At 45.7% G+C, this 14,209-nt stretch overlaps 1 protein-coding gene across 23 annotated transcripts in view, besides 3 other annotated features; it reads right to left on the reverse strand.

Moving 5' to 3' along the window:
- SLC35D4 (solute carrier family 35 member D4) overlaps nucleotides 1-14,209 on the reverse strand; it is a 199,440-nt gene that overhangs the window by 132,079 nt on the left and 53,152 nt on the right. For 18 of the 23 annotated variants that reach the window (NR_148382.2, XR_001753290.3, NR_148383.2 and 15 more), the window contains 3 exons: nucleotides 7,046-7,071; nucleotides 3,112-3,163; nucleotides 822-870 (listed from right to left, as the gene is read on the reverse strand). Coding sequence is in view for 14 of the 23 variants with exons in the window: in XM_047437896.1 (XP_047293852.1) it covers nucleotides 822-870; nucleotides 3,112-3,163; nucleotides 7,046-7,071 (127 nt within the window). In the remaining 9 variants the exon portion in view is untranslated. Of the gene's footprint in view, nucleotides 1-821; nucleotides 871-3,111; nucleotides 3,164-6,226; nucleotides 6,342-7,045; nucleotides 7,072-14,209 lie in introns of all 23 variants that reach the window. The other 5 variants (XM_047437900.1, NM_001318834.2, NR_148384.2 and 2 more) reach the window with 3 other exon arrangements.
- Nucleotides 5,847-6,346: an enhancer, noted in NCBI's record as "H3K27ac hESC enhancer chr18:20956411-20956910 (GRCh37/hg19 assembly coordinates)". NCBI's record gives its function as "activates a minimal SCP1, AML or CMV promoter by ChIP-STARR-seq in primed H9 embryonic stem cells {active_cell/tissue: H9 hESC(primed)}" and the evidence as "EXISTENCE:reporter gene assay evidence [ECO:0000049][PMID:30033119]".
- Nucleotides 7,554-7,683: an enhancer, noted in NCBI's record as "active region_13154". NCBI's record gives its function as "activates an Ori minimal core promoter by ATAC-STARR-seq in GM12878 lymphoblastoid cells {active_cell/tissue: GM12878}" and the evidence as "EXISTENCE:reporter gene assay evidence [ECO:0000049][PMID:35858748]".
- Nucleotides 13,025-13,200: a silencer, noted in NCBI's record as "fragment chr18:20963589-20963764 (GRCh37/hg19 assembly coordinates)". NCBI's record gives its function as "represses an EF-1alpha promoter that drives an FKBP-Casp9 reporter gene in an ReSE screen in K562 erythroleukemia cells {active_cell/tissue: K562}" and the evidence as "EXISTENCE:reporter gene assay evidence [ECO:0000049][PMID:32094911]".

The following is a 14,209-nucleotide window of genomic DNA, read 5'->3' on the forward strand; positions in this document are numbered from 1 at the left end:
ATTTCTGAACATTTCTGAGCTGTGTTAATAGTCAGGGCACCGTTTTTCCCCCAGGACTACAGACAAGCAACACTGAATATGTGATTTGTAATAAAATCAGATGGTCCCTTTATTTGAACAACTTAAACTTTTTTGGTAAATTACTGAAAGAAAATGTTTTTGACATGAACTTCTGGATATCTTCCCACCATTTCTAGAGAAGACCAATCAGCATTCCAAAAGTTGACTTGAGCAAGTGAAACCCCAAGCCACAGTGAGTTAGTTCATATTTGTCACGAAAAAGAGGAAAGTATATTGGAAATGGAAACATTTGAGGAAAAACTTCAAAATAGAAAACCAATCCAGAAAATGCCCATTTAATTTTAACCTTCACACCTTGGATTTAATTTTCCAAGGTCACCAAAAAGTGGGTATACAATAAACCTCAATTATTCAAGTAAGCTTCCCTCCCTCCTTCCCACCCTCCCTCTCTCCTTCCCTCTCTCCCTCTCTCTCTCTCTCTTTCTTTTTTTTTGACAGGGTTTCCCTCTTTTGCCCAGGCTGGAGTGCGGTGGTGTGATCATGACTCCTGCAGCCTCGACCTCCCTGGACTCAGGTGATCCTCCCACCTCAGCCTCCTGAGCAGCTGGGACAACAGGCATGTGCCACCATGCCTGGCTAATTTTTGTATTTTTTGTAGAGATGGGGTTTCTCAAGGTTGCCCAGGCTGGTCTTCCATTCCTGGGCCCAAGGGATCCACTTGCCTTGGCCTCCCAAAGTGCTGGGATTCCAGGTATGAGCCACCGTGCCCAGCCTTACATAATAATTCTTTTAAAACTTACCTACACAGAGTAAGTGAATTATAGCCCAAAAATATCCATCTGGATTAAACTGAAACACAAAATTAAAAAAAGAAAAAATGGCTATAAGTGCAAGGCAAATGGAATCCAGTGTGGCCATCAGAAAACCTGTCATCAATGCTCAGTGCCAAGCAAGGGTCCCAAAACAGGACTCCTGGGGCCGTACATCAGTTCCTTGGTTCCCTCTCATTCCTCAACCAGTTGCCTACATCTTCCTAACAGGACTCTGCCTCCAACACCCCATGCCCCACACTGCCATCACAAAGTTCAAATCCAAACTCATGACACCCCAAGACCTCTGTGACAAGCCCCCATCAACCCCTCTGGTTGTATGTACCCCCTACTGTCCCTGAATAAGGATAACTTGCATTTTCCCAAGCATGACTGCTTCCCCCTACAGCTCAACCGAGGGGACCCTCTACTTCTTCCCTTATTATTCTCCACAGGACTTAGTATCATAGGACACATCCTATTTATTTCTTCCTTGTTTTTTTTGTTTTTTTTTTTTTTTTTTGAGACGGAGTCTCGCTCTGTCGCCCAGGCTGGAGTGCAGTGGCGGGATCTCGGCTCACTGCAAGCTCCGCCTCCCGGGTTCACGCCATTCTCCTGCCTCAGCCTCCCAAGTAGCTGGGACTACAGGCGCCCGCCACTACGCCCGGCTAATTTTTTGTATTTTTAGTAGAGACGGGGTTTCACCGTTTTTAGCCAGGATGGTCTCGATCTCCTGACCTCGTGATCCGCCCGCCTCGGCCTCCCAAAGTGCTGGGATTACAGGCGTGAGCCACCGCGCCCAGCCCCTTATTTGTTTATGTGTCTCTATCTCTCCCTGCCCTCCCCTCTCCTAGATTGCACATTCCAGGAGGGTGGGCATTAGAACAGGGGTAAACACATAGCAGGTGCTCAATGACACTGGATCACAGGATACTCATGACACTCCAGGACTGCCCTCGCCTGCTTTCTTCTCCTGGCTAACTCCTCCTCATTCTTCCAGATTTAGGTCCTGTAAGGAGAGTCTGGCTCTAGCATCAGAGAGATCTGGGATAAATTCTAAAATCCCCACTTATTTGTTAGCTGGTGACCTTTTGGGCCTCCTTATTCTATGCTATGAAATGGAGATAATAATGCTCCCACCCTCACAGAAATGTTGTGAGATTTTAAATAACATAAGGCACAGAAAGCATTGGCACAGAGGCTGGCACACAGCAGACTCCCTGTAATTATGGCTACTCCTACTTCCTGAGGCCCCACGTCTTCTTAGGTGCTTCAGAGCCCCCTGTATCTCGAGGACAGAGCCCTGGCCCCCCTGTGTGATAACAATCTGTTTACTTGACTGTTTCCCTCCCCTTTGCTCCAAATAGGCTTGACTTCTGCCTGAGCAAAGATTAATTTTCCTCTTTGTGTCCCCAGAGCCTGGCTCAGTGCCTGACACGTGGTGGGGACCTAATAATGCTGGGGGAGAAAAGGAGGGAGAAAAAAAGAAAGAAAGGAAACCCAGAAATGAGATGACTACTGGGGGGCGGGGGTGGGTCCTCAGCACCTCATAAAGAAAACTCAACTTTAGCACAGGATAATAAAATAAAAATCATTTTGCAGGCCAGGCACAGTGGCTCACGCCTGTAATACCAGCACCTTGGGAGGCCGAGGCGGGCAAATCACTTGAGGTCAGGAGTTTGAGACCAGCCTGGCCAAGATGGAGAAACCTCATCTGTACTAAAAATACAAAAAATTAGCTGGGCATGGTGGTGGGCGCTTGTAATCCCAGCTACTCGGGAGGCTGAGGCAGGAGAATTGCTTGAACCCGGGAGGTGGAGGTTGCAGTGAGCTGAGATCGTGCCACTCCACTCCAGCCTGGGCAACAGGGTGAGACTCTGTCTCAAAACAAAACAAAAACAAAAACAAAAAATCACTTTGCAGGAGATGAGGCCCTTGGGAGGAGAGAAAATCAACTTTGCCTCCATGGCTGAGGCTGGGGCAATTTGGGCGTTGGCTTGCAGGTTCACCAGGCATGTACAGAGGACAGATGGCAGCCACCACAGTGCCCAGGGACCACAGCTCTGCAGGCCACGATGCCTGCAGCCCTGCGGAGAAGGCAAAGGCCTGGGGAAATGGTGTTGCCCAGGCCCAGAGCTACCCAGCCTGCAAGATTTGGAATGCTTCTGCATAGGCCAAGTTATCCTGCTTCTAAAAGGAAGGACTAGGAAATTCTGGTCATACACCCAGGCTTCAGAGAATAAAAGACACTTTGAAGGCAAATGAGTTCACTTGGACTTACCTGGGAGTCATTGAAGGGAAGGCATCCTGCTGCGGCCAGGAGGAGGAGGGCACTGTGGAGAGGGAGATAAAACACTGCAGCTTCACCTTTCAACATCAAAGGTTTCCCTAAGAGCGTGGAGGTGAAAATGCATCCTCTGGAGTTGGATGAGGCAAAGATCCTGCGAGACCAACTTGGTTCCTCTGTCCTTCCTCTGTGAACCTGACTACCTGTGTAGTTTTCAATTATGTGCTCTACTCATAAGCAGACATTTCCTTCTCTGGACCTCAGCTAGCCGTTTCCCAGAGTCAGGCATTTACAGGACATCTGCAAAACCACAGCTGGCTCACTTGAGGAAAATAGTGTGCCTGTGAAACATCTAATAAAACAAGTGTTTTTTCAACTGCAGATCCCCAAAAATATACAAGTGAAAAACTGGGGAATCAGACCACAAATATGCCTGTTTCAAAAATGAAAACACTACGGAAATTGCATTAAAATCCTTTGTGCAACCCCACAACCGAATGATCAAACTTAACACCACCAATAATGAGGCAGATCCACATTGTGTGCCTCTTGATATAAAGCTCGGAAGGACACAACATCACTTGGGTGGTATTCCTGCCAAACATGCAGAGCGTGGATTGAACCACGAGGAAACACTGAGACAAACCCAAATTTAGGACAGTTCACAAAACAACAGGCCTCCCCTATTCAAAAATGTGAAGGCAATGAAAGACAATAAAAAACTGAGGAACTGTTCTAGATTAAAGGGTACAAAAGAGATATGACATCTTTTTTTTTTTTTTTTTGAGATGGAGTTTCACTCTTGTTGCCCAGGCTGGAGTGCAATGGCACGATCTCGGCTCACCATAACCTCCGCCTCCCGGGTTCAAGCGATTCTCCTGCCTCAGCCTCCCGAGTAACTGTGATTACAGGCATGCACCACCTCACCAGGCTAATTTTGCATTTTTAGTAGAGGTGGGGTTTCTCCATGTTAGTCAGGCCGGTCTCGAACTCCCGACCTCAGGTGATCCGCCTGCCTCGGCCTCCCAAAGTGCTGGGGTTACAGGCCTGAGCCAATACACCTGGCTTAGACATGACATCTTTAGGGGAAAAAAATGTTATAAAAGATAGTATTGTGCCAGGTATGGTGGCTCATACCTGTAATCCCAGCACTTCAGGAGGCCAAGGCGGGCAGACCACTTGAGTTCAGGAGTTTGAGCCCAGCCTGGCCAATATGGTAAAACCCCTTTTCTACTAAAAGCACAAAAATTAGCCAGGCGTGGTGGCACATGCCTATAGTCCCAGCTACTCAGGAGGCTGAGGCAGGAGAATCACTTGAACCCGGGAGGCAGAGGTTTCAGTGAGCCAAGATGGCACCACTGCACTCCAGCCTGGGCAACAAAACGAGACTCCATCTCAAAAAAAAAATAAAAATAAAAATAAATAAATAAATAATAATAATAATAATATTGTGGCCAGATAATAAGTGGCAACATTTGAACATGGACTCAATATTAAATAACAGTATCATATCAGATGTTATTTTCTAAATTCAATGACTGCACTTTGGTTATCTAAGGGATGGTTGTTTTTAGGAGACACAGTATTTAGTATTTAGAAGTGGAGTCATGACCTCTACAACTTATTCTCAAATGATTCAGAAAAAATAAGAGCAAGAATAATATCTACATTATCATATATTTATGTGATATTTATGTATGTTTATGCATGTGTATACATATATACATTGAGATAGCAAGAAAGCAAATGCAAAAAATGTTACCAATGGGTGAATCTTGGTGAAGAATACATGAGAGCTCACTGTAATATTCTTGCAACTTTTCTGTAGGTTTAAACTTTTCCCCCCGTAAAATGTTTTATTAGAAAAATCTCTTATACATACTAAAATATTTACAGATGAAATGCTAGGGTGCCTGGAATAAATACTGAGCAAGGCAGTGGGTGGGGCCAGAAGCTGAAAATGGCTGAAGCTGGGAACTGGGTACACAGGACTTCATTCATTACATTATTCTGTTTACTTTGATATGTCTTTAGAAATTTTCACCGTAAAGCAATTTTTAAAAATTCTTGCTCAAAAAAGTAACACTGCCAAACACAGATATTTTCAGGAAGCTATCCTCACTCATTAGAAAGTCAATTTGGAGCTGGTTCAGTAATCCCTGGTTTACGGCCTATTCCTTCTGAGTTTCATATGCCAAAAGCTCTTGCCTCTAGCTTTCCCCACTCTCTCCTCCTAAAAGAAGGCGCCAGAAAGCATAAAACCCAAATTATCACTTAGTCTCTCTCCTCTTTCCATTTTATAGAGGCAACATATATATAGTGCCCCTTAACTACTGACTATTCCATCAGGCAGCAAACAGCAAAGGATCAAAGGCGTGAACAAAAGCACCGAATACAATGTTTTCACTTTCAGGGAACTTTGCCATATGCCATCTCCCACCAACACAGATTCTGTATTCTACATAGAGACTACATGTTTTTATATGTACACATAAACATATATATCTAACACACAACAACTTGGCATGTGTAATCTTAGTACACTGAAAACAGTGGTGCTGATCAATTCTGACAGTCCTCACTGCTGTAACCATGTGTAGATGTCACTGTACCCAATGGACCAGCACTGACCGGCTGGGCCAGAGGCAGGAGGACTGGCAGAGGGGCCCTCGGAGCTGAGGCCCCAGAGCCTTGGGAAGGTCAGGACAACATGGAGCAGCCTGAGGCTCAGGACACTTCTCTACCTCAGCCTGCCCTACTCCTATAGCCTTGCTGACTTTCAAGGCACCCCAACACACAAATGACCTAGAGAAGAATCCAAGGCAAACAGTGGGGTGAGTGGAGAAGAGACTGTCAGGGGAGCTTCTTGGGGCTGCCCAGGAACAGGCAGGTTTTGTGGTGGGAGGAGAGGAGAATCCTGATATCCTGATGGGTTTGGTGTCTACCTACAGTGAAAGGCTTTATAGAATAGAGGATGCTTCCCCATCCATGGAGAATGAGCATCAGAGATCACCCCAAACAGACAACCTCTTGGAACTGTGGAAGATGGGGGATACCCAAGGGTGAGACACCTGCCTGCCTTCCCACCCCACCTGGCCTCAAGCAGTACCTGATTACATCAGGTATCATGAGCTTTACCGCCTCTCTTTGACACCTGCTAGTCTCCTTTTAAACAGGAGGATAGTCTTGAAGTTTGGTTTTGTCTTGTTCTTTCAAGGTGCAACCTGTAATAAAGGAATAAAAGGAGGGTGGGGGATTGGATGAAAGCCCAGAAATATCTGCAGTAGAAATCCTAAATCCATCTATCAAAGCACCTCTGTTGGTTTTCTGTCTCCAGGACTGAGCTGCTTGGCCTGCAGAGGAAGCGGGAAGCAGTCAGATGCAAGGCACCCAGGTTAGAATTCAAATGCTGCAGGCACCGGGGTCTGCATGACAGGACGGCCCAGTTTACGCTGTAGCTGAGGAAACTGAGGCAAAGAGGACGAGGAAAGCTGCCCACAATCACCCTGCTATGGCCCAGGACTGCAGTTCAGATCCCAGGACTTCCAGGCTGGTGCTTTTTCCACCACGGAAAATATTAAAGACTAAATAAACTACAAACATTACTTTTAAATTTTTAAGTCATTTCCATGTTTTTCATTTTCATTCTCCATCAGTATTACACAACTGTTAGTAAAGTTTTGGGCATCAATGACTGAAATCTAGCACAGGTTGGTTCTGGTGTTTTCTCTTTTGGAATAAAATATTTCAGAAAGAAAAGAAAAACACAAGAAATTTTAGACTAAGACACAAATTAGGGATATATGAATGTTTATAATAAATTCTTCTGCCACCTCTTAGAGTATGAATCTTGAACAGTTTATCATTCAAGTTAAAAATAGGTTAAATCTTATATTATGGCTTTTTGGGGGGAGGGCAGTAAACTTACCTACAGATCTTTGCAGGAGATGTTTTCTGCATAAAAGTAAAGAAACATACAATTAGACTTTTAAAACTTTTTAAATTCCTCTTAAAAGGAAACATTTTGATCAAGAGGCAAATAAATTATGAGTAGATTTATCAAGAGCTTAACAGCTTGCTGCACTTTAGTATTTATTGAGGCTTTTTCTGCTTGGGCCAAATGAAGGATGACTCAGAATTCCAGAGTTGAGTCACTTCAGCAAAGTACTTTCACCATTAGAATGATGTTTACTCGTGAAAGATAAAATGACGCTGGGGCTGTGTCTTCAAAAATCTTACATGCTAAGAAGAGGAGAGAGAAAGAAATAGATGTAACCTGTATTTTAAAAAGCAATTAAGCTCTTGTTCTATCTATCCATTTATCTATCTATCTAGTATCACTCTGTTGCCCTGGCTGGAGTGCAATGACATGGTCACTGCAGCCTCAAACTCCTGGGCTCAAGCAATCCTCCCACCTCAGCCTCCTGAGTAGCTAGGACTACAGGCATGAGCCACCATGTATGGCTACTCTTTCTTTCTTTCTTTTTTTTTTTTTCATTTTTGTAGCAGCAGGATCTCACTATGTTGCTCAGTGGTATTGAATTCCTGGCCTCAAGCGATTCTCCTGCCTCAGCCTCCTAAAGCACTGGGATTACAGGCGTGAGCCACTGCACCCAACCTCAACTTCTATTTTAGTTCTGTCTCTTTAAATATTCCATTCACTAATCCAGCTGACTCAGAGCAGTCCTATAAACTATCTGGTGTGATATGAAAATTAAAAAACAGAAAAAAGGAGAAGGGACATTTTACTCCATCCCGAGAGACAAGGGAAAAAAAGGCAGACTGGAGGAATATAAACTTGGCATTTAAATTACCTGTAATGAAGACATTCTGATTTGGACTCACCCTTATAATTCCTTTTGATGAGTCAGTTTAATGAAATCAGACTTTTGTACTGAGAACTCATTTGTACATGTTAGCAGAGAGTAACATGTTAGCAGAGGGTGACACAGATTTTTCTTCTATATTTGATAGAGGAAATGAACAGGTACAATTAAACTTTTGATTAATTCTAAACATTTCAGAAGGATTATTCTGCTAGCTGGGAACAAACTACAATTTTTGATGCTAGTTCAGGCAGTGTGAAGTATGAACATATTGTTTAGACGTGAAGCGCTGACAAGAGAAACATGTGGCTTACTACAAAGGCTACCTTAAGTTTTCATGTGTGCCTAAATAATAAAGTTTCCCCTGTTTTAATGAACAGATTCTATTTTTGCAACTTTAGACTCTAATCTTGATCTTTGTCCAACCCTGCCTCTGCAGAGCACAGGACGCGAGGCCAACCGTGCTGTACTGCCATCTGCTGGGAAGTTAGCCCTCAAGAGCTGAAAGGAGGAGGGCAAAGGTGATCTGGCTCACACCTGCGTAACTGCCCCCGGTATGATAAATGTGTTACTCAAAAATTCTTTTTTTTTTTTTTTTGAGCCAGAGTCTTGCTCTGTTGCCCAGGATGGAGTGCGGTGGCGTGATCTTGGCTCACTGCAACCTCTGCCTCCTGGGTTCAAGCGATTCTCCTGTCTCAGCCTCCCAAGTAGCTGGGATTACAGGTGTGTGCCACCATGCCCAGCTAATTTTTGTATTTTTAGTAGAGATGGGGTTTCACCATGTTGGCCAGGCTGGTCTTGAACTCATGGCCTCAAGTGATCTGCCTGCCTTTGCCCCCCAAAGTGTTGGGATTACTGGCTTGAACCACCATGCCCAGCAGTTACTCAAAATAGAGCTAAATGTAACCAAAACCTCAACAGCCTAGTGTAAGAGCAGAAATTGAGAGGAGGGACTAAAGGGATGCTCTTCCACTTCTGTGAATAGCATGTTCACCCAGTAACTTCCAGGGCTAATGTTTCAGGCCAAAAGAAAAGGCCCCTTCCATGGAGGGGAGTAAAAGAGCACACAGATCCTGGGATACAGAGAGTAAAAACAGGCAATATGTTCATTACTTAGCTCCATCTCCCAGGGCTCTGGATATGACTGAGTTCATGGCAGTCATTTTCCTTTTCAGGATACTCAGTCCAAAATAACCTAGCAACAAGTCCTACTGAGGTCTCAGGGTTCTAAATGGGTTATTATAACTCCTCAAAAGTCATGCTGCCAAAGGGCTAGGGGTGGTGGCTCATGCCTGTAATCCCAGCACTTGGGGAGGCCGAGGAGGGCAGATCACTTGAGGTCAGGTGTTCAAGACCAGCCTGGACAACATGGCGAAACCCCGTCTCTACTAAAAATATCAAAAATTAGCCAGGTGTGGTGGCGCACACCTGTAATCTCAGCTACTCGGGAGGCTGAGGCAGGAGAATCGCTTAGAACCGGGAGGCGGAGATTGCAGTGAACTGAGATCACGCCACCGCACTCCAGCCTGGGCGACAGGGTGAGGCGGTCTCAAAAACAAAACAAAAAAAAGAAGTCATGCTGCCAAAATTAACAATAAATAGCTGACATTCCTCTGGGTTAGCTAACTGAACTGTGAGGGCTACTCACACTGCCAGGTGCTGTTCTAAGGGCTCTGCATGTACTGAATCCTTTAATCATGGGGTAATTAACAGTCATTGGTTCTATGTTAGAGAGGAGAGCACTTGAGGCACTGAGGAATGAGGGAAGCTGCCCATCACCTGCCTGCCAGTCCTGCGGTGTCACCCCTGCTGGCACCCTTAGCCACCACTTGATGCTCCCTCTGCCTGCCTGACAAGGAGAGCCCTTTCTCCTTATCAAACTGGAAAGTCCCTTCCCATCCTGCCTGACTCAGCTCAAATCTATCCACCAGGGAAGCTTTCCTTGCTCCTCCCATGCCGAATTACTGGAGCTCACCCGCTGGCCCACCCATACCCTGTGCCAGCCCGAGTGTACAGGCCAGCCCCTCCATCCAACTCTGCGTTAAGGCTAAGAAATGCGTCTCCTACGTCTCTGCAGCTTTAGGCCTAGCAACATGTTTGACATTTCATAGGTACTTGATAAATCCTGAACAAATGAATAAACAAACAGGAGTATTCTAATATTAAACTATAATAAATAATTCTGCAAGGTAGTTAGATTAATTCCTCGAGCCACGTATTGCCTTACAGTCAAACTGTGTGTGTGTGTGTGTATGTGTGCATGAGTGTGTGTGTGTGTGCATGAATACACAAAGGCCTTGTTGTGGATGGTGAAAATGAACTCTACAGCTCCAGATAGTTTATTTTCATAATCTGAGAATGAAGTCACAAGGAGGTCAACTTTTACTCTCCAAAAATGATTCTAGTAAAATCTACACATAGTAGACAAAATAGCCCTCATGGTAACATTTAACAGTCTGTGAGGTGGCGTGCAAGTGTGTTCCTTATGATAAGGGATGACTTCATCAAGGCTCCTAGCTGTATCATCAGAAATGTAAGTCTCATCAAGAACATATTACAGCAGCATCATAGAGCAGATTTTAACGCTAAATTGCTAAAAACCACCTACAATTCTACAAATAGGGAACAGCCAACTCATGCTTCAACCAATGTGGAATGATAGCCTTAATAGGGATTCCTGACAAACTGTTAAATGGAAAAACAGGATGTTTCTTACCGTTCGTGTAAATACATCTATATATGTGCATGGGAAAAAAGTCTGAAAGAATAGAGTGGTTTCCTCAGGGAAGTAGAAACAGTTGATTTTTGGGTTTTTAGAGTCAGGGTCTCACTGTTGCTCAGGCTGAGGTGCAGTGGCACAATCATGGCTCACTGCAGCCTCGAACTCCTGGCCTCAAGTGATCCTCCTGCCTTGGCCTCCCAAAGCTTTTTGATTACAGGCATGAGCAACTGTGCCCGGCCTCCATCTGTATTTTCTACAACATCTTAAATCTTCTTAGATTTATAAAGGAAAGAAAGGTTTGTTTTAATAACAACAACAACAACAACAACAACAAATTACCCACTCACTTTTTTTCTAGTTTGCCCTGACAAGAAATGATGTTTTGTGTTAGTGATGAAATGGAGTCGAAGATGCAAACACTTATGGTGTTCATTCAGTTATTTCCAAGGACAGGGCCTCTCAGCCAGACATCTGCCCTCATCTCTAGAATGGAAGAGGTCCCCTGCTAGAGGGAAACATCCCTGAAGGACTTTCTAACCCTCAGTCCTACCGTCACCCTCATCTACAGGCTCTGGCCTGCTCATCAGGAAGCAAAACCCTGTGGAGATGCCTTGATCTTATCCAGGTAAATCTTCATTTCTAAATTCATAAGAAAGTAAATCTTCCTTTCTAAATTCATAAGAAAGTATCCCAGCCAGGTGCAGTGGCTCATGCCTGTAATCCCAGCACTTTGGGAGGCTGAGGTGGGCGGATCATGAGGTCAGGAGTTCAAGACCAGTCTGGCTAACATGGTGAAACCCCCATCTCTACTAAAAATACAAAAAATTAGCTGGGCATGGTGGCGGGCACCTGTAATCCCAGCTACTCGGGAGGCTGAGGCAGGAGAATCGCTTGAACCCGGGCAGCGTAGGTTACAGTGAGCCAAGATCACACCACTGCACTCCAGCCCAGGTGACAGTGTGAGACTCAGTCTCAAAAAAAAAAAAAAAAAAAGAAAGAAAGGATCCCTTTGGAGAATATGAGTTTTTTTTTTTAATTTGGACAGGTCAGGTTCCCAGAGCTAAGCCACTCTCAGGGAAGTTCTGCTCCTGAATCTCAGTGACCATTTAGTGACTCTTTAGCTCAGTCCCAGTTCTGGAGGCTGAGCCCAGAGCTCTGAGGAGAACCACCACGTGGTTCCTGCCATTGGAAGACTCAGGGAAGCAGGCCTGAGACACGGGGAAAATCATGCTGTATCTCACTGATCCTAAGACACCAATGATTGTAAAACTTCCACTTATTTTATGTATTAGGGAGAAAGAAAAAAAAATTACACCATGACACATCATTGATTGTAAGAGCCTTCCTACTGTAGATATTCAATTAAAATGTGAAAGAAAAGAAGCACATGTTAGAACTGACGGACTATGGAAACTGCACGATGGTGTTGTAAGTAAAATGTCAGAGAAAGGTGTCCATCCAGGGAACCCTCCAACTGCACAGAGATCAGCCCAAGTGCCGAGAGGCCTCCACCTCCCAGCTTTGGCCGTGGGACTGCCAAATAGAAAATGACAACTGTCTAAGCCCAGGGCTGCTCACTCCAGGCCCTGCCTAAGGGCTCAGGGGATCGAGCTCTTTTTCCTCAGTCCCAGCAAGGCAGCCTGGAGAAGATGAGGACTGAACTAGGGCGGCAGCAGCTGTGAGGGTAGAGGAGGCACAGACTTGGTAATAGGCTGGATGTGGTGGGGAGGGGATACTGGGGAGTCCAAGGGGCCTCCAGGGTTTCTGACTTCGGTGATGATGACCAGGATTGGGGCTACCAAGTGAGAAGCAGGTCTGGAGAAACAGATCAGTTCCATTTCAGATGTCCGGGGAGAACCATAGGACAGCAAGCCCCAGGGCTCTGCAGGGGAGCTGAGCTCAGCAGGAGGTATGGGCTGGAGATGGAGATTTGGGGGTCCTCTGTGAGCAGCAGGTGGCTGGCACAATGGGTGTGGATGAGATTTTCCAGAAAGTATGTGGCATGAGGACAGAGGCTCCTAAGAAACAGCCCAGGGAAACCCTGAAGAGGCAGACAAAGGAAAAGGAAGAGAAAGATGGATGAAGGAAAAGCCCAAGACACAGGAAGGGAACCAAGCAGGGAGGGGGCATGAAGGCCACGGGGGCCTGGAGAGGCCAGAGGAGAAAGCGGGGGGAATGGTGGAAACAGACACGATGAGTCGCACAGACGAAGCCACCAGTGCCTTCAGCCAGGACAGTTTCAGGGGAACGGCGGGGGCAGAAGCAGGAGCAGCAGAAGGTGACAGGGACAAGAGGGCATGGACAACACCAAGCCCAGCCCTGAGGCCTGTGGCATGGGAGGGGAGAGAAGGGATGAGGCAGAGTGGGAGGTGCACGGGCAAGGCAGCTTGAGATTTTCCCGTGCGAGGGATGGTTTTGTAAACACACCCTTCCAGGGCTGGGTGAAGTGAGTCTCTTCTGTCTCTCATTGTCACATGGGAAGGAGAGCCCATCCTCTCCTTGGTGCAATGACAACACCAAGGCATGTTTATGGGCCCAGGGAAATAAGCCAGTGACGAGGGAGAGGCTGACAGTGTAGAAGAGAGGAGAGATAATTGACAGGGCCACCTCCAAGGAGCGGCAGGATGATGGGGGGAGATCGGGTATGGTCATGGCCTCCTTTCCTGCACACCTGTAAAAAGCATGTGGCCTGAGGTGACCAGCTGGCCTCTCTATAGTTTAAAAGTTCCAAAAATTGGGGGGGGGGGGTGTGATGTTTTACACCTGTAATCCCAATGCTTTAGAAGGCTGAGGCAGGAGGATCCTTTAAGCCTAGGAGCTCGAGAATAGCCTGGACAACATAGCAAGACCCTATCTCTATAAATAAAAATTAAAAAGTAGCCAGGTGCAGTGGCTTGTGCCTGTAGTCTCAGCTGCTCAGGAGGCTGGGCCAGAAAGATCACCTGAGCCCAGTAATTTGAGGCTGCAGGGAACTATTACTGTGCCATTGTACTCCAGCCTGGGCGACAGAGCAAGACCCTGTCTCTAAAAATAAAAATAAATTAAAATGTTCCAAAAATTGGTATGAAATCAAATAGCAAATGCCAGAAGAAAAAAAAAACTCCAAAAAGAAAGACCAATTTAAAACCACCTCTGATAACATTACTAATTGTTCCTGATGTGCAGAGCACCTACTGCATGCAGGAAATGGCTGGAAGCAGTTACTTAACAGTGATAGTTGCTGTGTTCTTCGAAAAAGTCTTGAACAAGCTGGTGTCATTATTACCACCTTGCACAGATGGAGGCCTGGAAGGTGAAGGAGCTTGTTCTAGCTGGTATGAGGTATAGCTGATATTGGAGAGAAAAGCAAATTTCCCTGGGGTGGGCTAGTGCCGCGGCACCCTGTGTAAAACTCTGCTACGCCTTGTCCTGTGGTGCTGGATTGGCCGGGGGTAGGAATGCTTCCCCAGCAGGCCCACAGCAAACTCCTCTTTGTCTCCTGAGGGTCTGGGTCAGCCTGGCCTGGATCTGAGTTCAGTTCATATCAACAATATTCCCACATATG

This window comes from Homo sapiens, chromosome 18, assembly GCF_000001405.40.
Source record: "Homo sapiens chromosome 18, GRCh38.p14 Primary Assembly".
Classification (NCBI taxonomy): domain Eukaryota; kingdom Metazoa; phylum Chordata; class Mammalia; order Primates; family Hominidae; genus Homo; species Homo sapiens.